The 26,477-nt window shown below is 40.3% G+C and overlaps 1 protein-coding gene across 4 annotated transcripts in view; it reads right to left on the bottom strand.

Moving 5' to 3' along the window:
* ADGRA3 (adhesion G protein-coupled receptor A3) overlaps positions 1-26,477 on the bottom strand; it is a 128,691-nt gene that overhangs the window by 89,088 nt on the left and 13,126 nt on the right. The window contains exon 1 of one of the 4 annotated variants that reach the window (XM_047449703.1): positions 1,161-26,429. The exons of the other annotated variants lie outside the window; for them this stretch is intronic. The gene's annotated coding sequence lies outside the window, so the exon portion shown is untranslated. Of the gene's footprint in view, positions 1-1,160; positions 26,430-26,477 lie in introns of those variants that run through there. 4 annotated transcript variants of the gene reach the window in all.

The following is a 26,477-nucleotide window of genomic DNA, read 5'->3' on the forward strand; positions in this document are numbered from 1 at the left end:
TGATTCTTTCAAAGGAAACCTGATGAAGAGAAAAATGCTTACAAGCTTTTAAAAAGCAAACATCAAAACTGATATCCTTGATTGACAATATATTTCTGACTCTGTATAGTCAAAAATAATAATAATTGGGAAGAAAACATCAAAATGATCGCTATTTTAGTGATGAGGTTTCTATTAATTTATTCTTTTTGGGTTTTTCTGTTTTGGGTTTTTTTTTTTTTAGACGTAGTCTTGCTCTTGCTGCCCAGGTTGGAATACAGTGGCACGATCTCAATTCACTACAATCTACGCCTCCAGGGTTCAAGTGATTCTTGTGCCTCAGCCTCCCAAGTAGCTGGGAGTATAAGTGCCCACCACCATACCCAGCTAATTTTTGTATTTTTAGTAGAGACAGGGTTTCACCATGATGGCCAGGCTGGTTTCGAACTCCTGACCTCAGATGATCCGCCCACCTCGGCCTCCCAAAGTGCTGGGTTTACAGGTGTGAGACACCACACCTGGCCAATTTATCTTTTATTCTTTATAATCCTGCAATATCTTTCGAAATCTCTAAAATAAGACTTTTATTTTTTTAAGTATTTTTCCTCCTGGTAATAAATATAAGAATCTTAATTGCTAAGTACAGCTTGAGGTTGAGTTTATTTTGAGTGTATCTTAGAAATAAAAACAAGTAAATAATTTATGCTTTGAGATTAAAGAGCCACATTTATTTATTTATATTCAATAAATGTTTATATAGTGACTGACGTTAGAAACTTCACAGGCACTAAAAGTAGTGCAAATAACAATGGTGCTGTATTCAGAGTCTAGGGTTTTAACTGCGACCCCACAAGGAATAAATGATTCAGTTTGTGTGACAGTCACTTCACTTTTCTAGGTAGACTTCAACTTCATTTTTAAGACAAAGAAAAAATTAGAGTGATTATCGAGATCCTTTCCAGCTAGTTTTAATTTTCTATATTTAATTACTATGTTTTAATGAGCAAAGCTGTCAAACTTTGCAGTCACTAAGAATTTAAAATAAACCAAAGAACAGGGAAATGAAAACTACACAACGACCAAGCTCAGTGACATTAGTGTTCTGTTTCTGAGTAAAGAATGAAACCCAAACATGAGTAGCTTATAAAACACGGCCAGGGTAGTGGCTGAATTACACTCACTGCAATTCCAGAATGCTTCGGCCAAAGGACTGTCATTTCCTCAGTCATAAAAGCTTTAGTACGAGAAATGATAGATTTTATTGAGGAAAGTAAAAAGGAAGACATTTCATCACACTTAAAACGTTATAACTGTAACCTTAAAAATACAGTTTACAACCTCAAGTTAATGTATTCAGTCTACACATTATTTGATGTGTTTAAGGATTTTGTGCAAGAAAACAGAATCAGTATGAATAAATCTACTCTGCAGACAGCTTTTACACTCAATTTTGAAATAGGGGACTGTGGAACTAGCAAATGCATAATATCATGTATTATTATAAACCTAAAACCCATTCATAATCAATATTTTTGCTGACATCTTTGAAATTTCAAACTTTCTAGGAGGTAAGTAAATGAAAAATATAAAACTTGAGCGAAGTCATAAAGCTTATATACACCCATTTCTGTTCTATACTAATGATGTTACCGCCACATGATCTATGGACGATGCTTAGGAACGCTACTTGGAGCTCTCGCCTCTTGAATTTCAACGCCATTAAGGAAGTCCTTGATGTCTACTGCTACCATTTAACACAGTACCAAGTTTTAGTTTGGTACATCGCTTATGCTGGAATACAAAAACAGGAGTGAGACTTACTATACATATTTTTTTAAAAAATCAAAAAGTTTATGGAGCAGAAGAAATAAAAATTAAGTAGTTTTAGAAGTTCTCAGTTGCTTGCTATTGCAAGTCCCAGAATGGAGTGAATCATGGAAAACTGTTGACAACACTCACACCTTGTATATCAGAAGGCACAAAATGATTATCCTTTTGAGAGAAATTTAAAAATATATTTCAAGAGTACTAAATATTCAGATCAAATGTGTTGGAGCTATAATTTGGGGCATCAACCATTGTAGGGAAAAATCAGATAAACAATCAAATAGGGTTATTGTGGCAGGTTGAATGGCTGAAGTGGTTTGAAAGGCATCTCCCGGAACCTGTGAATGTGAAACTGTGAACGTGACCTTGTTTAGAAAAAAAGTGTTTGTGGTTGTAATTAAGTTAAGGTTCTAGAGAGGAGAGCATCCTGAGTTAGGGTAGGCCCTAAATCCAATGCAAGTGTCCTTAAAAGGAAAGAAGAGAAGACAGAGTTCAAGGCTCTATGAAGATGAAGGCAGAGATGAGCCTCAGAAAGAGACAGAAGTTTAAGAAAAGCAGATTTACAAGCCATAATAACTAAGGATTTCCCAGAACTAAGGAAAAGAGCAAATAGGAAATTTGAAAATGTAGCACATTTAAAAATTTCTTTTTGATTGTTTTTAAATCCATAAGCAATGTTAAAAGATAAACAATAAATATTTATAATTCCTATTAAAGGCAAAGGACTAATTTTCTAAACATACAAAGAATTCTCTAAAAAAAAACTAAGAAACAAAAAACCTCCCCAATAGATGCGGCCCACAAACACATGAAAAAAAGCTCATCATCAATGGTCATTAGAGAAATGCAAATCAAAACCACAATGAGACACCATCTCACACCAGTTAGAATGGTGATCATTAAAAAGTCAGGGGCTGGGCACGGTGGCTCACGCCTGTAATCCCAGCACTTTGGGAGGCCGAGGCGGGCGGATCATGAGGTCAGGAGATGAAGACCATCCTGGCTAACACAGTGAAACACCATCTCTACTAAAAATATAAAAAATTAGCTAGGTGTGGTGGAGGGCACCCGTAGTCCCAGCTAAGCAGGAGGCTGAGGCAGGGGAATGGCGTGAACCCGGGAGGCGGAGCTTGCAGTGAGCCGAGATCACGCCACTGCACTCCAGCCTGGGCGACAGAGCGAGACTCTGTCTCAAATAAAAAAAAAAAAAAAGAAGTCAGGAAACAACAGATGCTGGAGAGGATGTGGAGAAATAGGAATGCCTTTACACTGTTGAAGGGAGTGTAAATTACTTCAACCATTGTAGAAGACAGCATGGCGATTCCTCAAGGACCTAGAACCAGAAATATCATTTGACCCAGCAATCCCATTACTGGGTATATACCCAAAGAATTATAAATCATTCTACTATAGAGACACATGCACACGTATGTTTACTGCAGCACTATTCACAACAGCAAAGACTTGGAACCAACCCAAATGCCCATCAATGATAGACTGGATAAGAAAATGTGGCACATGTACACCATGGAATACTATGCAGCCATAAAAAAGGATGAGGTCATGTCCTTTGCAGGGACATGGATGAAGCTGGAAACCATCATTCCCAACAAACTAACACAGGAACAGAAAACCAAATACCTCACGTTCTCACTTATAAGTGGGAGTTGAACAATGAAAACACATGGACACAGGGAGGGGAACATAACACACAGGGGCCTGTCACGGGGTGGAGGGCTAGAGGAGGGAGAGCATTAGGAGAAATACCTACTGTAGATGACGGGTTGATGGGTGCAGCAAACCACCATGGCACATGTATACCTATGTAACAAAACTGCACGTCCTGCACATGTATCTCAGCACTTAAAGTATTTAAAAATCTTTTGCCAAACAAAGAAGAAAGAAAAATCGGCAAAAGGCTTGAACAGATAGTTCAGGAAAAATAAACACCAATGGATCACAATCAAATAAAGGGATGTACGACAACCTTAGTCATGAGGGAAACACAAATTAAAACGAGATGTCACAAATAACTTTTCACAGTGGGGGAAAAATGTGATCACACATTTTATATTCTGAGGGACACAGCCACTCAATATTTTGCTATAAATCAGTACAATCAGCTGGGCATGGTAGCTTAACTCCCGTAGTCCCAGCTACTCAGGAGGTGAAGGTGGGAGGATTGCTTGAGCCCAGAAGTTCAATATCAGCGTGGGTGATATACATAGCAAGACCCGGTCACTTAAAAACAAACAAAACAAAAAAAATCAAAACAAAACTATGGAGGGTAAAAGTATAAACATATATACACTATTTCATCCATTTATTCCTCTTCTAAAAATTTACCCTAAAGACATACTTGCACTTGTACAAAATATATTACATATTACATCTTATATAATTATATACTTATACAGCAAAATTATTCATTGCACTACTGTCTGTAAAAGCTAATTGCTGTATACTTACGTTGGTTCCAATAATAGGGGACTTTATGGAATTCTTTTGTCTATCTACAAAATGAAATACCAGAAAGATGCAGTGTTGTAGGACTCAGGGAGAGGAAGCACTTTAGGTATTCACACAGAAAGATCAAGGCATATATTTACATATTTAAAATTTCCACTCTTTGAGGCCCTAGTATGCCTGTAATCCCAGTGCTTTGGAAGGCCAAGGAGGAGGATCGCTTGAGCCCAGGAGTTTGAGTTTATAGTGAGCTATGATCTGGCTACTGCACTCCAGCCTGGGTGACAGAGCAAGACCCAGTCTCAAAACAATAAAAATTTCCACACCTTGACATTTCTGATTTGCCATTTTACAAATTGTACTAATGTAAATTGACACTGTGTTAGATTTGGCCTGTATAATAATATGTGTTATTGCTACAACATTGTTTATCAAGTACAAGAAAAAGAGATAAGAAAGGAAGGTTGGCTAGATTTTGGGCCAGGTGAGTCACTAACTTCAATTGGTACACATCCTAAAGTTTTAGAGCCACCTGTGATAAGCAAAAATCAGGAATGTTAACTCCTCAAAAATAAATTTTCAGTGCTTTCCTTCATTTACCCCAGTCATGAAAACTGGTGACTCCCAACATTCTTCAAAGTTCTAGTTCAAAAGCAAAAAAACCCAGCCAGCCACTGGTTTTCTTTAAAGCCTACGACCTCTAAGAACAGTGTTTAAATTTTTAAATGCATGAAAAACAATCAGAACAATACCTCATGACACATGAAACTTGTATGAAATTCAAATTTCAATGCCCTTAAAGGTTTGTTGAAAACAACCATGCCCATTTGTTTACATATTGTTGATGGCTGCTTTTTATTTTTATTTGTATGTTTTTGTGAAAGTTTTACAGAGTAAAACAGACGTGTACAAAGGATTTCCTCTTTCAGAAGATACCTCCTACAATAATTTTAATAGGACCAAGAGTTACCAAATATTGAGGATGTGCTAGGACAGCAGAGTTGAGTAGTGGCAACAGACATTCTGGTCTGTAAAACCTAAAATATTTACTAATTGATCTTTTACAGAAAAAGTTTGCCAACTTCTGTTTTACTCTGTCTCAGCTTATTCTGTTTTCAGATAAATGCAAATCAAACGCCATTTTCTAAAATAATTCTTCCTAGCAAAAATGAGAGTATCTACTGAATCTCAAAATTCTCCATCCATTTGATAATTCTTCATATTAAAATTACATTTAATCCCACATGGCATCAGCAATTAAATCAATTTTGTCATAAGCATGGTTAGTTACTTGGTTCATCAATGTCTCTTCCTTTGATTGGATGCATTGACTCATTCATTCATTTTTGCAGAAAATAATTCTGGGTGGTATGCTTTAGCTCTTGTGTGTCAAGAAATGTTTTGCCTTCACTCTATTCACCTTGTTGTAACACTTCTCATTATTTGAAATCACTCTGTTCAGGCATTTGTGTATCTACCATTTCTCTCACAACAAAGTAAAATACATAAAGTATAAAAATCTTTTCCAATTTGACCATAATTGCATCCTCACAAAAAAAGAACATAATGGTGAATATCTGAGTGATCATATTGTGCAGTGAATATACTCAATCATTCTTCACCAGCACCCTGTGATACAGCTGGGTTCAGTGGCTTATACCTATAATCCCAGCAATTTGGGAGGCTGAGGCAGGAGGACTGCTTGAGCCCAGGAGTTAGAGACCAGCCTGGGCAACACAGTGAGACCCCAACTCTTAAAAAAAAAAAAAAAGTAAAGACAACAGCCAGGCATGGTAGTGTGAGCATGTAGTCCTGGCTCCTTGGAGGACTGAGTGGAGAGGATTGCTCAAGCCCAGGGGGTTGAGGCTGCAGTGAGCTATGATAGTTCCACTGCACTCCAGCCTGGGCCACAGAGGAAGACCCTGTCTCAAACAAAACAAAACAAAACCCATGATGTAGATATTATTATTTTCTTCAAAACAATTACCAAAAATTTGCAAGGCAAAAGAAATTAGCTAACTTGCTGAGGTTCACACACAGACTAAATGGCAGAGTTAACATTCCAGCAGTGTCAAGTATGAGTGACTGTTGCAGCCACATGCTCCTACTCAGCTGTCTTTCTAAAAGAGGGCCTTGGGGCAGGAGAGCAGTTAGCTGAGGGCCCCCAGCCACAGACGTCTAGAGGATCTGCCTCCGTCAATTTTCAAGCAGAGTCATGCACTTTGCAGGCAGTCCCCAGCCAATGACTGAGCACAGCAGTGGTAGCGGGGCTCTGCATTTCTACCCAGCAGACTTCTGGTGGGCAATCTCTACCAGAGCTTTGCAAAGGGCTGGCCAAGCCTTCCTCATAGCTGTGACACAGTCTCAGACCTTTCCTTCCCCTCTCCTTTCACAGGTGCTAGACCTGCAATTCCCATCTGAAGACTTCTTATGCCTGCTTCTGTTTTCTCTCTTTATTTTTCATAGTAATTCCCCCTAGTAAACATCTTTAACTCCTAGCTCCACTCTGGCATGTGCTTCCCTCTGGCATGTGCTTCCCAGGAGACCCAACAGAAAAGGTCCCACAACATCTGTGCAATGAATTAATGAAGTAAAAAATAAAACTGGGTTTAAGTTTCTATGTTCAAAGATCTTCCCTGAGGACATAATGACATAGCACCTATAATTAATGGCATGCAGTGGTACAGATCAGAAATATAAATCTCAGTCCCAGCCTTATTCCTGCTTAAGTCTTATGGGATTCTTTCTGGAAATCAAAAATTCTACCAGAGTATGTCTAGTACTCTTCCTTCTCTTCATACTGCAATAAAAGTGTCCTAAGATACTTTTTCTACATGTTAGACCTTCTAAACTTAAAACCATCTTAAAACTGATAGCAAAAGAATCTTCCAGCTGTTAGAAAAAGGAGGAAGTTAAGCATTTATCAGTGGTTGTCATTGTTGGCACACACACAAACTGTGGTTGAATTTTAAGTCTGGATCCTTAATTATGGCTTAATGTTTATACATTAAGGTTTCACTATGATGCAGCACTGAAATAAACAGTTGTGTAATAGAAGATTGCATATGCTACGACAGTCAGCATAATTAAAGGCAGAGAAATATCAAATCTCTCAGAATTTGAAGTTGAGGAGAGGCTGGAGGGATTCATTCATGTGTCATAGAGAACTATCATTCAAGCAGGTCACAACTGGTAAGCTGCCAGCTAACTTATAAGAAAAACAGTTAAACTTCCAATGATGCATGATTACATTTTTTTTAAAGCTGTTAAATGAACCCCAAGTAAAAAAATGCAAAACCTAACACAGGCATCCAAATTATATTATCACAACCTAAAGATGCTAAAGAAAAAGTCAAGATTACTTTTATGAAAAACTGTGCAATTACAATGCACGCAATATACCCTAAAATGATTTTAAATATATTTTCCATGCATATATAAAAAGAAAAAATAAAGGGGTAAAATGCTAGTAATATGGGAAAATCAGGTAAATCTGGGTAAAAAATATACAGAGGTTCTACCCATTATTCTTATTCTTTTAATAGTCATGTAAGTTTGAAATTATTTTCAAATAAAAAGTGTAAGCAGGCCAGGTGCAGTGGCTCATGCCTATAATCCCAGCAGTTTGGGAGGCCAAGGCGGGTGGATCACTTGAGGTCAGGAGTTTGAGACCAGCCTGACCAACATGGTGAAACCCCGTCTCTACTAAGAATACAAAAATTATCCGGGCGTGTTGGTGCATGCCTGTAATCCCAGCTACTAGGAAGGCTGAAGCAAGAGAATCGCTTGAGCCCTGAGGGTGGAGGTTGCCGTGAGCTGAGATCACGCCACTGCACTCTAGCCTAGGCGATAGAGTGAGACCCTGTTTCCAAAAAAAAAAAAAAAAGCGTAAGCAGCTTTGTACTAAAATGATACCATGCAGAATACAAATGGTTAAGTGATTCAGCATGAGAAGGCTGGGGGTGACAGAGGTGCTAAGGAAGTGGCATTTCACTGGGTGGGAAAAAAATATGTACACGTTTAGAGAAACCAGCTCTTAAGAATAATTAGATCTCTGGCTCCCTCGCTGAAAAGTTGTTTGGAAATAAGCATCTGACTGTTGATGGCATCCTTGAATCAAAGAATTGTTTAGGCTGCCTTTTTTTTTTCTCCATCTGCTCCTTAGCCAGATATTCCATCTCTTAGTTCCAACCTTCACATTTCTTAATTCTGCTTCAAAATTCTCATCTTAATAACGTTCTGCTTTGAATTGTGGAATAAATCCTCTGCTTAATTTTCCAGAAGACTAATTTTCTTAAGTCCTTGGTTGTTTCCATTTCTCCCTTCAGCCCACCTACTGACCCCACACCAGCACTTTTTTTTTTGAGACAGGGTCTCGCTCTGTCACCCACGCCGGCGTGAAGTGGTGCCATCTCGGCTCACTGAAACCTCCACCTCCTGGGTTCAAGCAATTCTCCTGCTTCAGCCTCCTGAATAGCTAGGATCATAGACATGGGCCACCATACTTGACAGTTTTGTTATGTTGGCCAGGCTGGTCTCGAACTCCTGGCCTCAAGTGATCCACCCGCCTTGGCCTCCCAAAGTGCTAGGATTACAGGTGTGAGCCACCATACCCGGCCCACACCAGAGCTTTTTAACATTATAATCCCACACTTAACTTGTAAGAACTCCTCCTTTGCTCAACCTTTCCCATTAGATGCTTTTTTTTTTCTTTAATCAGTTGCTCTGCTCTTGGATCTGAGACTATGAATTAGAATTTTCCTGTGTTAACTTTTCCCCAGTGGTTCCATGGGACTGGTTTGGTGGCCTCTCATTCTGTTGATTTCTTCTCAAATGTCTGATGATCCTTCTTGGTTGCTGGCTCATATTTACAAATGTGGGGCTAGAACGCTCACTATTAGTTGCTGCAGAGGATTTCTTTAGCACACATGAAAATAATGGGTAATGAACTGCCTTTACTTTTAGGTTCAGAAACCTCATATCCGTGGAGATGGAGACACAAAAGATACCTGGCACCTGCTACAACTTCTCCCTCCTGCTATACAGTCGCCCACTATATTCTGCCTTGGCAAATCTCCCAGATTATTTAAAACTAAGCTAAATGGCCTTGTTGCAGAAGCAAACTGGACCACTATCCCCTCAGAGCCAGACTGAGAGCAGAACTGGAGCAGCTGTTTCAGGTTATTAATTCCTGGCCAGGCGCTCTCATTAGTCACTTTTGTTGCCACCCCCTATGGTTTCAGTTCTTGGGAATCATCCAGGATGCTGTTAAGAAAATCCATTTTTCTAGTTATTCCCACTTCTGTCTCTATTGGGTTGTAAGTTCCTACTTCCTTTGCTGTGGAGTTTCGCCATCAATCTGATCCCATCTGCTTTATTTATTCCACAACGTCCTCAATGCTTCCGGGGTCTCTGGAGCAACTTTCTCATTTTGCAGCCCTGTTATGGATCTTTCCATATTTTTATGCTTCTTCTATTATTTTCAACAGAATTTTGAAAGGAAAGGAGAAAAAGTAAACAGACGCAGCTCACTGTATATCTACTTAAGGGGCCATAAAGGGGTCATTTCCTAAAAGTAGAGCCTCCAACCTCTTTTACATGTCCTCTCTGGATGCTAAGTGATTCATGGACGGCTTGGTTTCTAGCCCATCTTTTCCCCGTCGTCCAGGGAAAGCTACAACTCATAGAAAAAGCTTGACCATTATTACTTTTAATCACAAGGGTATCTGCGTAAAACAAGAAAACCTCATACATCAACCAAAATCTAAAGTCCCAGGTCCTCTGTAAAACAGTCAGATGTCCCTGACCACAACCCTTCTTAAAGTGCCATACTCATCCTGCTCCAACAACTCAAAGAAAGGGAGGCAGATGCAGGGGAACCTCCAAGGGGTGAGGATGTGGTTCAGTGCCCTGGCTGGCAACTCTAACCTATTTTGTATTTAGGGTCATTTTTCCAGTCTCTGCCCTCCCTCAATAATTACCGAGCATTTAATAGTAATCACAGAAGGCAAACTCCGGAATACAAAATACTAGAATTTGAATCTTAACACCAGGATTTGGCTTCATGACTTTGGACAAGTTCTTAACCTCTTAGTTACTTAATGCCTCATCTGTATATCATCCCAGGCCTTTCTAAGAGACAATACAAGGCTTGTGTAAATATATATGAGAATGTGTGGTGAAGCACTTAAAGCAGGCCCTATGACTGCTTTCTAAGATCCATGCAATTGGACATCACAGCTAGAGAATGATAAAGCTGATAGTGGACGTTTTCATTATCAGCATCTTCTGGTTGAATACCAACCAGGCTGGGCTATTGTGCTCTCTCCTGAAAAGGTCAACAGCATCTGCTCCACCACACCAGTCTCCCCCAACTGTTAACGCCTCTGGGGTTCATAAACATTCCTCTAACATGTTTTCACTAACATGGTAAAATAACTCAAACCTACAACTTCACAGATATTGTTTAGATAAGTATTTTTAAATGAGCAAAATTTAAATTGAGACAATATATTCTAAATCAGAGGTCCTCAACCTTTTTAGCTCCAGGAATTGGTTTCACAGAAGACAATTTTTCCATGGATGGGGGAAACAGGGATGATTTCAAAGGCATTAGATTCTCATAAAGAGCATGCAACCTAGCTCCTTCGCATGTGCAATTCACAATAGGGTTCATACTCCTGTGAGAATTCTTAACGCTCAGCTGATCTGACAGGTGGTGGAGCTCAGGCAGTAATGCTTGCTCACCCGCCACTCAACTCCTGCTGTACAGCCCCCATTCCTAACAGGCCATGGACTAGTACCGGTCCAAGGTCTGGGGGTTGGTGACCCTTGGTCTAAATAACAGTATAAGTGGTATCTAATGACAAAGCAGGATGACGGCACACTGCACTCATCTAAAGTTGGAAACACTACACCATTGTCACCAACAAGAGAGCCACAGAGCAGGACAAGAGTTTGAATACATAGCCTCTCCAAAAAGCTCTTTGGCCAAATGCATTCGGCAAGCACTACCTGCCAAATAAAACCATTCTAAATTGAAGATGCTTACTCAAATTTGTGTTGTTAAATATTTCTCCAATTTATCTAACCAAGAAACTCTCTGAAGTGATAACACTACAATGGCCCGCCAAACCCACTTTACAGAATGTTGAATTACAGCTGCCAGGCGCCTGGGAAGCAAAAGGCAAAAGTGTGGCGGGTGAAGCCAGAGCTTGGGGTGCCGGATGTTGGGGTGCCGGATGTCAGGGTACCCAGATCTGAATCCATGCTGCTACCTGACACTAGTATAAACGTAAGTGACAAGTGATCCCTGCTCTGACCTTCAGTGCCGGAATCCATAGACAGGGATAATGGTGCTGATCTGTTTAGAGCAGGGGTCAGCAAACTGTAGCCTGTAAACTGCTTTTATAAACAAGGTTTTATTGGAACCCAGCCACATTCACTCATCTGTGAATTGTTTCATGGCTGCTTTCACATGTATAGGGTTGTGTAGTTGCAACGGAAACTGTACACCTAAAATACTTACTAGCCAGGCCTAGACAGCAGGAGTTTGCCTACCCTTGGTGCAGAACATTGGTTCTCAACTCTGACTGCACATCAAAATAATTTATGAAGCTTTAAAAAAAAAAAAAAGTCAAAGCCTTGGCACCCCCTGAATCAACAGACAAAATCTTAGGCTGTGGAGATCTGACATCATTTAACTCCCCAGATGAGCTCAGTTGGTGCCTACAGCACCAGGCTTCAGGGGGCTGGGACCACCCCTGAGCCTCGTACAATTCACAGGCTAACAAGAGCTGTAAGGGGTTAACCCAACGCAAGCGTGAAGAGGGCCATGGGAGGCAGAGAAAAGCATGGCTACTTCGGGGATCTAGAGGCCAAAGAAAACGTGGGAACAATCCAGAAGTCTGCTTTTAAGGACATGGGGCTATCAGAGGGGACAGAAAGTAACAGTACAGAAATACAAAAGCAGACAGACCTGAGTCAACCTAAGAAGATTCAATAACAGCACAGAAAATTTAAAATTTGGGGAAAACATAATTTTACTTTAATTCAGTAAACAAAAGCCACTACTGGGAAGCAAATCATGAAGACTCCTACAGTATATGCAAGTAATACAAGTCCCCTGGGAGAAAAAAAGGAGAAGAGTGGCAATAATTAAAGAAATAAAAGGAAATGCCTCCATAGAAAGTAGAATAGAGGTTATAGGGACTGAGGGAGGGAGAAATTGGGGAGATATTATTTAACAGGCACAGAGTTTATGTTGGGAATTGTGTTAGTCCATTTTCATGCTGCTGATAAAGACATATTTGAGACTGGGTAATTTATAAAGGAAAAGAGATTTAATGGACTCACAGTTCCACATGGCTGGGGAGGCCTCATAATCATGGTGGAAGGTGAAAGGCACATCCTACATGGCAGCAGGCAAGAGAGAATGAGAGCCAAGCAACACGGGAAGCCCCTCATAAAACCGTCAGATCTCATGAGACTTATTCACTACCATGAGAACAGTTATGGAGGAAACAGCTGATGATTTAATTATCTCCCACCAGGTCCCTCCCATAACACGTGAAAATTATGGGAGCTATACTTAAAGATGAGATTTCGGTGGGAATATAGCCAAACCATATCAGGAATGATGAAAATATTTTGGGTATAGATCATGATGGTTACACCACAGGCAACTGTCTTTAATGGCACTAAATTGTACACTAATAGTTAAAATGATAAACATGTATGTTTCCCCACAACAAAAACATAATGTATAAATATAAATATGTACATGAGCAAAAAAAATAACGAAAAGGAAATATCTTTCATTTGAAGAGAGACTTGTAAGACTAACTACAAGCCAGGGAAACTGATGAAAAAGATGCATAGCTGGACACATTCTACTAAAATTTCCAAATTCCATAATAGAGAAATGATCCTTCAAGTTTCCAAACAGACATGAAAACTTGTGGGTATTTCCATCACTCGGTTTCAATATCTTTCCTACAGATTTGGTGAATGGGGGAGAGTTCAGTATATTCTGCCTTCCCAAACCATCTACAATAGTACTTCTAACTTCAATCTCTGCAAGGTTAACAATTATTCAAAATGAGACAGCAAGTCAAACATATCAACAGGTAGCATATACTATAAGGTCACAATACAATTTATCATCAAACACACTGGAGGATAAAAAGAGTTGCCATTAATAATTACACTGAGACAACAGATTCCAACCTGGGCTCGTGGTTACCCTTAACTCCTGAAACGGTTCAATAAATAAGATTCAAGTTTCCAGGCATTCTTATCAAAGATCTGACATTTTAAAAAATAAAGGAGGCCTGATTTTTTTTCTATTTTCAATTCTTTATTTAGCAGTGTCATAAATAAAAAGGAAATAACCTATTTTTCTGCCTTAGCATTAAACTGTAAGTTTACATGAAATTAAATAGCATTTCGTTAAGAAAAATTGAAGCGTTTTTAATGCCATAGTAGATATCTTTCAAAAATGCCTAAAAATGAAAAACTGTTTATTAAATAACACTTCACCTTATCTTATGAACACATTAGCTGCAAGAGAAAAGACAACCCATTTTTTAAGGTGTCTGTATATCAATAAAGAACACTGGACACTTAATATTTATGAATATAATAAAAGCCATTTTATTTGGCATTTTAATCTAATTGAAAGCTTTCTACTGGGACCATCCTGAGGTTCTTATAGGAGTCTGAGTCTCTGATTTTTTTTCAGCCAAAATTCTTGATGTCGGACCTATTACTCATTATTTCAGAATATATTTGAGCAACTATTGTGTCCTGGGAGTGAGAGCAGAAATACAAAAACAGACCTCAAAGACTAATATTACACAAGTGTACACTAAGTGTTAAGTGCTACAAGAGGGATATGTAACTGAATCCTAGGGAATACAGAATTTCAATGTTGCTGAAAAGTAAGATGATTGGGGAAACATTTCTGAACTTTGCTGTAAAAAGAAAAACAAACAATACTAGTGGAAATTTAAAGGGCAGACAAAGAAGGGGAAAATCATTTAAAGTGAGATAACCTTGCAAAGATCTGTATTTGTTTTCTATTGCTGTGTAACAAGTTACCACTAACTGAGCTGCATAAATCCACACCTGTTTATTAGCTCACAGCTCTGTAGGTCGGAAGTCCAGGCACAGGGAGTGAGCAGATCCTCTAGTCAGGTGTAAATGGCCCCAGAGAACCGAGATACCAATAGTGAGGGTGTTCCTGAGTTCATGAATGGATCAAGGGAGGGAGGGAGAAGGCAAACAAGTGGTCAGAAAAAGACAGGCAGGCAGACGTTCTGGGTGTCCAGCTGAAAACATCCAGGAAAAAAACTGGAAAACAATGTGTGCCACATTAAATAAGCTCTTTCTGCCTGCAGCCAGCCCTCTGAGAGCAATGAGCACAAGGTCCTCCTATCAATGGTAAACTTTGTTTAAATGTAAGGCTGTTAAAATTCACGAGAAGAGTAATAAAACTCCAGGGCAGAAGTCAAGAAACTTGCCAGGTGCCAGACGGCAAATACTTTGGGCTTTGCAGGCCAAGAGGCAAGATCCATAATATGATGTAGGTACTTATATAATGAGAGGATACAAATAATCACACAAGTTTTTATTGACAAAAATCAAAATATAACAATTGGGTATAATTTTTTCTAATACTTGGCAAAGATACTCTCGACCAAACCTTTAGTCAGGTTCCCTTGAGCCCTCTTCTCAAGGGGGCCTCTACTTTAGCCTTCAGTGTCTGTCCCTTCAGAGTTGTAGCAAGAATCCTCCGAAGTCAGTTTAGAGAGAATGCTCCCACCCACGATATCTGGTCAAACCCCTCTCTTCCAACATCCACCAAGTGATATCTGATCATCCCGTACTGCCTTCAACAAGAATCCTCAGGGTCCTTTAAGCGAGAATCTCGCTACCCTTGATGTCTTCCTCTTAGTAATTTCCCATCCACTGACTCTCCAACCTCTTCAGCTATAAACCTCCACTTGTTCTTGTTGTATCTGGAGTTGAGCCCAATCTTTGTCCCATACTGTGACGGTCTTGAAACCCATCACAACAGTCTTAAACAAAGTCTTCCTTACCATTTTAACAAGTATGAGAATAATTTTTTCTTTAACACACTGGTCAACTATGAGAAGAACGGATTTCTTTCTGTTGGGGGAATAACATTTGACTTAATCAGAGTTCCCAATCGTCAGATCAATTGCAAATGTATAAAGCTACTCTTAGCTACATAAAAGCAGGCACGGTTGGGATTTTTGGTCCTTGCTCTTTAGAATGCACAAGGGAGAGAAAATAATATTGCTAAGAAATCCTAATACACATATTCCTTCCAATACACTGCCCATGTTACAGCACCACAGTAGCACTGGAAAAATTGCATTTGGTGTCTCAGGAGGGAATGCAGGAATGCGGAGGCGAAAAAGCACATCAAGGGAGAAAGTCCATCCCAACCAGCGCTTCGTCTCCTCCTATTTCCTTAGGACTAGTTCCATTAAAAAAAGAGAATACTGGAAATAGACAGATCTTAAACAACAGAAACCTACTGCCTAGATAAATCCAGGCCTGGTTGGAACTTTTAATAGTTTGCACAATGGTTTTTAAACTTGACTGTAACTCACCGTTTTCCTTCAATAACCCAATATACATAGATATTGGATATTTTTCATTCATGTATTTAATTACAAAGATTTACTGAGTGCCTACTTGAATGCTTGATAGCATTCAGGGTGATGGGGAAAACAGAACAAAATAAAGAGTCCTGCCCTTATAGAGTTTATGTACTAGTGGGTGGAAGAAAAAATAAATAAGCAAAACACAGAATATGTTAGCTGTTGAAAATTTCTATGGAGAAAAATAACATAAGAAACAGAGACATAACATAAGAAACAGTGGAGGTGTAGCTGGGTGGATTTCTCTTTTAAAGAGTGTGGTAAATGACATTCTCACTGAAAAGATGGCTTTTTTCTAAATGATTTTTATTTTACAGTAACAGTAGGCATACAATGTAATGAATTAGAAAACAAAGACTAGCCAAACCAAGAAAATAAAAGCATATCCCCATCATCTAGAGATGACCATTTTAACACCTTAATAAAGCTCATTTCCAACACTGTCACCCACATATATTTACAAGTGTGCATTTTGCACACACAAGATGAGATTACACTGTAGATACTACTGTTACCAGCTTTTTAAGCTGTTGATCTCCACCTTTCTTTTTTTAAGAGACAGGGTTTCACTCTGTCACCCAGGTGGAGTGCAGAGGCACAATCACAGCTCACTGCAACCTCCAATCCCTGTGATCAAGAAATCCTCCCATCCCTGTCTCTCAAGTAGCTGGGACCACAAGTGTACACCACCACACACAGCTAGTTTTTGTATTTCTTCGTAGAGATGGGGTCTTGCTATGTTGCCCAGGCTGGTCCCAAACTCCTGGCCTCATGAGATCCTTCTGATTCAGCTTCCCAAAGCACTGGGATTACAGGCATGAGCCACTGTGCCCAGCCTCCACCTTTCCATTTCGGTATCTTTTTAATCTCATCTAACACTCAGGCAATAATTAAGTTTCTAAAAGAAGACCTCCAAAGATCTTTCAAAAAGATCCTTCATAGATGGTTTATCCAAACCAGTATCTAAGACTACAAGTGTATCTTGAGTGTGTCCCTTGCAACATAACAGTACCATCCAACCTCTTTTTGTTAGACAAAAAATAATAATAATAATGACTGGGTCTTTGTGGTGCTGTTTTGATAGTTTCTCTGCTCTCCTGGCAATACCTGCAGACTGGCATTAGATCCAAAGCAGAGACTCCCAACCTTTTTGTGCATTGGGCTATGTTACCAGTCTGGTAAAGCACTAGGACTTTTTACCGAAGGTGGGGCCTAGCAATCTGTTTTAACAAGCCTTCCCGGAGGAGTCAATGTGTACTCATTTTGTCAGAGGCACGTGAACCAGAGCAAGTCCATCTTGAATAGGAGCTAGGCAAAATGAGGCTAAGACCTATTGGGCTGCATTCCCAAACAGTTAGGCATTCTAAGTCATAGGATAAAAAAGGTCGGCATAAGATACAGGTCATAAAAAACCTCGCTAATAAAACAGGTTGCAGTAAAAAAGCCAGCCAAAATCCATCAAAACCAAGGTGGCCACAAGAGTAAACTCTGGTGGGCCAGGCGCGGTGGCTCACACCTATAATCCCAGCACTTTGGGAGGCCGAGGCGGGTGGATCACAAGGTCAGGGGTTCGAGACCAGCCTGACCAACATGGTGAAACCCCGTCTCTACTAAAAATACAAAAAAATTAGCTGGGCGTGGAGGCGGGTGCCTGTAATCCCAGCTACTCAGGAGGCTGAGGCAGGAGAATTGCTTAAACCTGGGAGGCGGAGGTTGCAGTGAGCCGAGATCGCACCACTGCACTCCAGCCTGGGCGACAGAGCAAGACTCTGTCTCAGAAAAAAAAAAAAAATAAGAGTAACCTTTGGTAGTCCTCAATGCTACACTCCCACCAGCGCCATGACAGTTTACAGATGCCATGGCAACATGAGGAAGTTACTCTATATGGTCTAAAAAGGGGAGGCATGAATAATCCATCCCTTGTTTAGCATATCATCAAGAAATAACCATAAAAATGGGCAACCAGCAGCCCTTGGGGCTGCTCTGTCTATGGAGTAGCCATTCTTTTATTTCTTAACTTTCTTAATAAACTTGCTTTCACTTTACTCCACGGACTCATCCTAAATTTTTTCTTGCACGAGCTCTATGAACCCTCTCTTGGGGTCTGGATTGGGACCTCTTTCCTGTAACAATTTGAGAACCTCCTGAGTAACATATGCTATATCCTACAATCAAGAAAACTACTACACATATTATCCTAAATAAAACTACTACAAATTACTATAAACTGAGTGGAGTTTTACATTTTTTTAGTTCTTTTTGTTAGAACACTAAAGTTATACAGTCAAAATCTTCAATTCTAATTAAATCTTCTGTGTGTTTCATTTTCAACTTAAAAGATTATTTTTAGTTATTTTTAACTAAATAATACATTTACAGAAGTCAAAGGTGAAAACTATATACAAAGAGAACCAACTTATTTCAGTAGACCCCCCTTATATGTGGGGCATACTTCCAAGACCCCTAGTGGATACTTAAAACCGTGGATAGTAGCAAACTCTACATACACTGCTTTTTCCTGTATATGCATACCTATAATAAAGTTTAACGTATAAATCAGGTACAGTAGGAGATTAAAAACAATAACTAAATAACAAAATAGAACAATTATAACAATGTACTGTAATAAAAATTATGTGAATGTGGTTTCTCTCTCTCTCAAAATATCCTATTGTACTCTCTTCACCCTTCTTATGATCCATCCATCTAATAACCAAGCCAGCTACTAAGTGACTAACAGGCAGGTAGCAGAGACAGCATGGATACCTTGGACAAAGGTCTGATTCAAGTTCCAGGCAGGATGGAGCAGGACAGCACAAGACTTCTTCCCGCTACTCAGAATGGTACACAATCTAAAACTTATGGCTGCGCACAGTGGCGCACACCTATAATCCCAGCACATTGAGAGTCGGATCGCAGGGCCCAGGAGCCTGGGATCAGCCTGGGCAATCTGGTGAAACCCCATCTCTAGAAAAAATAAATAAGTAAAACTTATGAACTATTTATTTCTGGAATTTTCCATTTAACTGAAACCACAGAAAGCAAAACCATGAATAAGGTGGGGGACTACCATTTTGGAAATAGACAAAAAAGGAAAACAAACAAGGACTTATCTTGGCCTTCCTGGATAAAGTGACTTCCAGAAAGCAAAGTAATTGATCAGGAGTAAATTTCTTTTATAAAAGTATCAAAGTTATAGGCCGGGCGTGGTGGCTCACGCCTGTAATCCCAGCACTTTGGGAGGCCAGGGCGGGTGGATGACGAGGTCAGGAGATCGAGATCATCCTGGCTAACACGGTGAAACCCCGTCGCTACTAAAAATACAAAAAAATTAGCCGGGCGTGGTGGCCGGCACCTGTAGTCCCAGCTACTCAGGAGGCTGAGGCAGGAGAATGGCGTGAACCCGAGAGGCGGAGCTTGCAGTGAACAGAGATCACGCCACTACACTGCAGCCTGGGGGACAGAGCAAGACTCCGTCTCAAAAAAAAAAAAAGTATCAGAGTTAATACATGAAAAAATAATGATACAATTAGAGTATCATCATTCTGCAACACTAATAATATAATTGATTTAGGCAATGATACCAACAGCTGTTAAACATCATTTTTTTAAAAAAAGATATTATATATTCCATTAATGTAAGTATATACATCACCTTCTTGCCAGAGTCACACTTGAATCTCAGAAGTGAAAAGCGGTACCTCAAAATAATTTATATCTGTCAATGTGAATTTGTGTTCCCTTTCTGTGAAGATCCGGAAATCTCCTTTGACCTTTACAACACATTGGTTATGAGGACAGGCTCTGGAGTTGGGCTGACTCGGCTCAAGTCCTGGTTCCATCACTTAAGTATGGGTGACCTCAGGGAACTTAATGAGCTTCTGTGCCTCACTTCCTCAAGCACAAATTAGGGATAATCATAATGATCTCATTAGGGAACTATGAAAAGCAACCAACACAACATTTAAAACACTTACCACAGGATCTGGCACACTCGGCAAACATTACCTATTATTATTTTACCACATTTTCAATGGATCATCTGTCTTTTCTTACTAATTTACATCAGTTCTTAATACCTAGCAACCAGCATTTTTCCTCAATACAGTCCGTGGTCCAAATCCTGGGAACCGCTATTAGAATATACTGGGAGAGCACACTTTGGAAATTATGACTCAAGGGTGAAATTGCTTAATATTAAGTATAGAATCTAAATAATTCTACCAGTAAGAAATCTTGAGACCTTTTGTAAATATAAGTGGCTGAGCCAATGTTAAAGTAGGTATTGGAAACTCTACTTCAAACGGTGAGGAACCCTGATATATACAAAAGGCCATTATGAGTCCAATGCTGGACAACCAAAGAAACAATTAATACACATATATAAACAGAGTGTTGGGCTTCCGGGGCCACTGGCAAATGATGGCACATGTGCCACCACCCCCCATACCATGCCCATGACAGATCATTATTCAGTCCTGTCATTTCCCTGATAAGCTCACAAAGCACTTCCAATACTTACTCCCAATTTATGGGGGCAGCCATTCAAGAAATTAACTGGCACCACTGGTTCTACCGCAGAAACCATCAAAGGCAACTATGATCCAAATGTACTTTTATAACTTTTGGGGCGAATCATAACCAAAAACAAGCCTGCCCACTTAGAGAGAGTTAGGTGGGGAACAGAGGGAGACAACAGAGGGTTGACAGGGAATCAGCCAGAACACTGGTGTCAAAGGATTCTGTAATAAATATGTGGTAATACAGGCAAAGCCATAGAAGGTGGGGGGAAATGCAGGCAAGAAAAATAACACTGTGATATAATAAAGAATCTGCACACTGTCCATAAAGTCTGGAAATTAACTTTTTTTAAAAAGTGTGTATGTGTGTGTATTTGTATACACAGTCATCAAGGACATCTTCACTATAAAAAAAAAAAGTCTCTGTTTCTGACATGACACCCTGCAGGTTCACCTGGTACTCAGAAATTCAGAGAAGCAGGCTGGTCTACTCACGGAGTTGGGGTTTAAAAGCCTATATTCCTATAGCAGAGGAAGGAATAAGAGACATGCAAAGGGGCAACCAGAGTTCACCTATTAAAAGAGCTCCAGTGAGGCCGGGCACGGTGGCTCACGCCAGTAATCCCATTTTCGGAAGCCAAGGCGGGAAGATCACCTGAGGTCAGGAGTTCCAGACCAGCCCGGCCAACATGGTGAAACCCTGTCTCTACTAAAATCCAAAAAAATTGGCCAGGCATGGTGGCGGGCGCCTATAATCCCAGCTACTTGAGGCGTACGTTACAGTGAGCCAAGATCGCATCATTGCTGTCTCAAAAAAAAAAAAAAAAAAAAAAAGGGATCAAGTGTTCAGGCCGGGTGTGGTAGCTCATGCCTATAATCCCAGCGCTTTGGGAGGCTGAGGTGGGGGATTGTTTGAGCCCAGGAGCTCAAGGCTACAGTGAGCTATGATCAAACCACTTCACTCCAGCCTGGGCAATAGAAAAAGACCCCATCTAAAAAAAAAAAAAAAAGGCCGGGGACAGTGGCTCACAGCTGTAATCCCAACCCTTTGGCAGGCCGAGGCAAGCGGATCATCTGGGGTCGGGAGTTCAAGACCAGCCAGGCCAAAGTGGTGAACCCCATCTCTACTAAAAAATACAAAAATTAGCCGGGCGTGCTGGCAGGAGCCTGTAATCCCAGATACTCAGGAGGCTGGGTGGGGCAGGAGAATTGCTTGAACCCAGAAGGCAGAGGTTGCACAGTGAGCCGAGATCATGCCATTGCACTACAGCCTGGGCAACAAAAGCGAAACGAGTTTCACAAACAAAAAATAAATAAATAAATAAAAATCAAGTGTTCAGATCCTAAAGACAGGAACTCAGGGACAAAAAAAGAAAACCAGTTAACATGGCCGGGTGCAGTGGCTCACACCTGTAATCCCAGCACTTTGGGAGGCCAAGTTGGGTGGATCACCTGAGGTCAGGAGTTCAAGACCAGCCAGACCAACTTGGTGAAACCTCGTCTCTACTAAAAATACAAAATTAGCAGGGCATGGTGGCGGGCGCCTGTAATCCTAGCTACTCGGGAAGCTGAGGGAGAAGAATCACTTGAACCAGGAAGGCGGAGGTTGTAGTAAGCCGAGATTGTGCCACTGCAATCCAGCCTAAGCAATGAGCCACACACCGTCCCAAAAAAGAAAAAAGGAGGGCCAGGCGCGGTGGCTCACGCCTGTAATCCCAGCACTTTGGGAGGCCAAGGTGGGCGGATCACAAGGTCAGGAGTTTGAGACCAGCCTGACCAACATGGTGAAACCCCGTCTCTACTAAAAATACAAAAATTAGCCAGGCGTGGTGGTGCATGCCTGTAATCCCAGCTACTCAGGAGGCTGAGGCAGGAGAATTGCTTGAACCCGGCAGGTAGAGGTTTCAGTGAGCAGAGATCACACCACTGCGCTCCAGCTTGGGCGACACAGCGAGACTCGTCTCAAAAAAAAAACAAAAAAAACAAAAAAACACAGAGAATCAGTTAACAAAAAGACAGCTCAAGATCCCAACACAGGCATTAGCCCTAGGGGAAAGAGGGCAGGTCTCAGCTTGTAAGTGAGGGGCAATTAGTAGTGAGAAAAGGCAAGCAAAGATCATGAAGCAGGCAGGCCTGAGGCTTAAGTACAAGTAGCCCCAATGCCCCCCTTCCCCGAACAAGTAAACAACCCTCACCCTTGCTATTATAATGCAATATAATGGTACAATCAGCCAATTCTAATAAAGCCACTGGAACTTCATTAAATGTGCATGTAACTTCTGTGGCTTTGAAAAATACACGTTAGCAATGTTGTTAGGTTTGGTTTCATATGTAAAATCATAGAACTTTAGCAGTTAAAGAATCAGTAAAGACAGCCTAGTTCAAAAACCTCGTTTTACTAGTCAGGAAAGTGAAGGCCAGAAATGTTGTGATTTGCTAGGTGACACGATTCTACTTGGCAGCAAAACCAATGCGAATCCCCACTTCCATTCACAGTCTCATGCTATTTCCCTTTATCCTCCATTCTGATCACCTCTATTAAATAAGGTGTAGGAATGACAGTTCCCTGCTCACCTAGTAACAGCATGACATGTAGACAGAACTAGAGTGTTATGAATTCATGTCACTTCAGATGGAGGCCTCCCAAAAATGCATCTACTCCCCCTATGATGTTCTTATTCATCTTAACATGGCAGCTGTTTGAGATAGGGTCATTTATTATTCCAGGATAAAATTTTCAATCTCAAGAATGCAGCAGATAAGCAAAGAAAGACCGTATAATAAATGGATGATGTTACAAACCTAAGTATAAATGCCATTGGTCATTTCCACAACCACTTAATGAGAGTAAAATGGGATGTTAAAATTCTTTCCTTCAACAGTTGTTAGTTACTTGGACATAATATGCACTAGGTAAAAATTCTCAGTTACAGGTTGCATAGCCCTCATTCTAAATGTCTGGGACCAAAAGTGTTTCTGATTTCGCCTTTTTTCAGAATTTGGAATATTTGCATTATACTTACAGGTTGAGCATCCCGAACCCAAAAATCTAAAATCCAAAATGCTCCAAAGAGCATTTCCTATGAGCATCATGTCAATCCCAAGAAGTTTTGGATTTTGGAGCATTTTGGATTTCACATTTTCATATTTGAGATGGTCGACCTGCACTTTGCTTTTCCCGTCTGTCAGTCATCGCTGAAGGAATGCTTCCATGTAAACAAGTTTTCTGTAACAACTGTTCTACAAAGGCTTACCCCAACACCACTACCAAAGAAAGCACTTAAGGTGTCACTTTCATGAAAATAACAATAGTTAGAATTGAAGGCCAGAAGCCAGGCCCAGCAGCCTATGTGTAACCTGAGAAGATAATTTACTTGTCCAGGCTTCAGTTGGCACTCCTGTAAAATGTAGACAATACGGAGCTCATAAAGCTGTTTTAGCAATCAGGTGAGAGGTTATGCGGGGAGCATTTGGCACAGCACCTAGAACACGATCAACATTCCAACGTTGGTTGTTATTAGAACTTTCAAATCAGTTAAGGACACTTGCAACACGGTTCTGAAAGTCAAAGAGCTCTACAGACACCTGAAGTTTCTCTAGTCATGGGAGTTCACGAATATTACCAAACCAGTTTTAGGAGGAAGTTAAACTAGCAGCAGAAATAAATCTCTCCTTTAAAAAAGCAAGACAATAACAACAACAACAGGTTTTTTTACTCTGTTGTGATGGTTAACATTACTTGTGAATGTAAAGTAAGAGGTGCCCAGATAGCTGGTAAACCATTATTTCAGGGTGTGTCTATGAGGGCATTTCCAGAAGAGATTAGCACTTAAATTGATAACTGAGTAAAGTAGATGATCCTCCCTAATCCACTTTGGGGAAGACCAAAGTAGACTGGTCCTCTTTAAGTAGACTGCCTACTTTAAGTGGGCATCTTCCAATACACTGAGGGCCTGAATAAACAAAGAGGCAGCAGGGCAAATTCGCTCTGTGCTAGAGCTGAGACACTCGTCTCCTGCCCCTAGACATCCGGCCTTAAGTTCTTAAGCTTTCAGACCCAGCCCAGGACTAACACCCTCCCGTCCACCTGATTCTCAGACTCTCAGACCTTTGAACCTAGACTGAAACACATCACCAGCTGTCCTGGTTCTCCAGGCTACAGATCATGGGACTTCCTTATAACCATGTGAGCCAACACCTACAAGAACTCTCCTCTTAAATCTATCTCTTCATCTAGCCTATGGGTTCTGTTTCTCTAGAAAATCTTAATATACCTTTATATTAGGTAACTCTACAGGGGTTCCATCAAAACAAGAAACAGGTCTATGAAATTAATTTCATGAGAAGGCTAAAGACAAGTGTTTTCTGAAATCCCATTTTCTTGAAGGAGAACAATGAGAAAGGCCAGGATCTTCAGTTTTACTTTACTATCCAGCAACATCCCAACAAAAAAATAAAGGCATCACTAGAAAATAAACTCTGGGTCAGAATAAACTGCAACCATTAAGGCTTATCAGTTTCATAGACCAGCAAAATATCACAGAAATTAAAGAGCAAGAAAGAACCTGAATGAGTCATGTTATACTCACCTCCCAAAACTCTCTTACCAGTCACGGAGGGAGCCTGTTATTCATTGACTGCAGGTCCTGGGGACTCCCCACGTTTCCTTTCCATTGTAAAGCTGCCACCACCTACACTCCCCTCTGGATATACTAAGACTTAGTATAAAAGGTCTAAACAATTTCCCCTCTTATTTTTTGCTCCACACAGTAACAGAACAATTCCAATGTAAAAAGTTTTATAATCACAAAAAAATGGGAAAAGATGAAAAAAAAAAACTAATATGAGAACTAAGAATATTATAAAACTTTAAAAAAAAAGTATTACAAAGTTTCTGTCTGTGGTTGCTAACGTCTAGCTAAGCTGATGGACAAGTTTTTCAACTTTATCCCTGAGGGAAGAACTCGAATGTGTAATTTTTTTTTTCCCCATCAAGGAGCTCTGAAAAGTAAATCCTAGTAGAACAGTTCACTAAGGTTCTTTAAGTAGGCAATAATCTCAAGCGATCTCCATTTCTCATAGGTTCAGACTGGATGACACCTATTTCCAGGAGCCTTATCTCAAAAAGCATAGCATCCCCTAGGAGGTACTACCCTTCCTGTATCTATTTTGGCAGGGAAACCATGCAGCCAAGCTAGCCAGGTACTCCTGAGAGCGACAGCCAACCCAAACCACGTAAGGGTGAAAGAATGGTTTAAGTAGTAAATACAGTTGCCAAATGCAATAATTAGTAAGTATGAAACCAGGTGTGTCCATCAAGCTAAAGGACCAGAAGAGGAAGAAGTATGTAGTGATGGACTTTAAAATGGTCTAATCTAGGCAGACTTCAGTAAGAGCATGGGACAGAAGATGGCGGTATATAGGCCACATATAGGGTGGAATGCTGGAAATGATGACAGGCATTGAGATATATCACATGCAGAATGGCAGATATATCATATGCTAGACAGCAATAGGCTGAAACTGAAATAAGAGGTAAGGAAATGAAGAGGATGGATTCAAGCTAGTTTTCAAGAAGTTCACTTAAGAAAGAGTGGTCATTCAATCATGGTGCTACAAGGGAGTATTCTGGGGAGAGGAGCTTTTTTAACAGAGGAAGAAAGGAAGTGGCTATGTGCAACAAGGAGAAACATCACAAACTGGGAGAGAACTTCAAAACAGAAAAAAGAAAAGCAATGGCTCCTCAAGAGGTAGGTGGGAACTGGATCAAGAAATGAAAAAAAAAAATCTGGGTGAAAGACACTTTTTACTATCAGATGAAGAGTGGGAGTTTAAGCCTTGACCTTGTATGTTTGTTATGTTGCTTTGAAGAGTCTCAAGTTTATCCATGACAGATTCATCCTGCATAAGACTAATGCAAGATTCTGACCAGTCCTACTTAAGGGAAAAAAAAAAAAAAAAAAAACAGTAAGAAAAATGAGACCTCTTTGTA

Source organism: Homo sapiens, chromosome 4 (assembly GCF_000001405.40).
Source record: "Homo sapiens chromosome 4, GRCh38.p14 Primary Assembly".
NCBI lineage: Eukaryota > Metazoa > Chordata > Mammalia > Primates > Hominidae > Homo > Homo sapiens.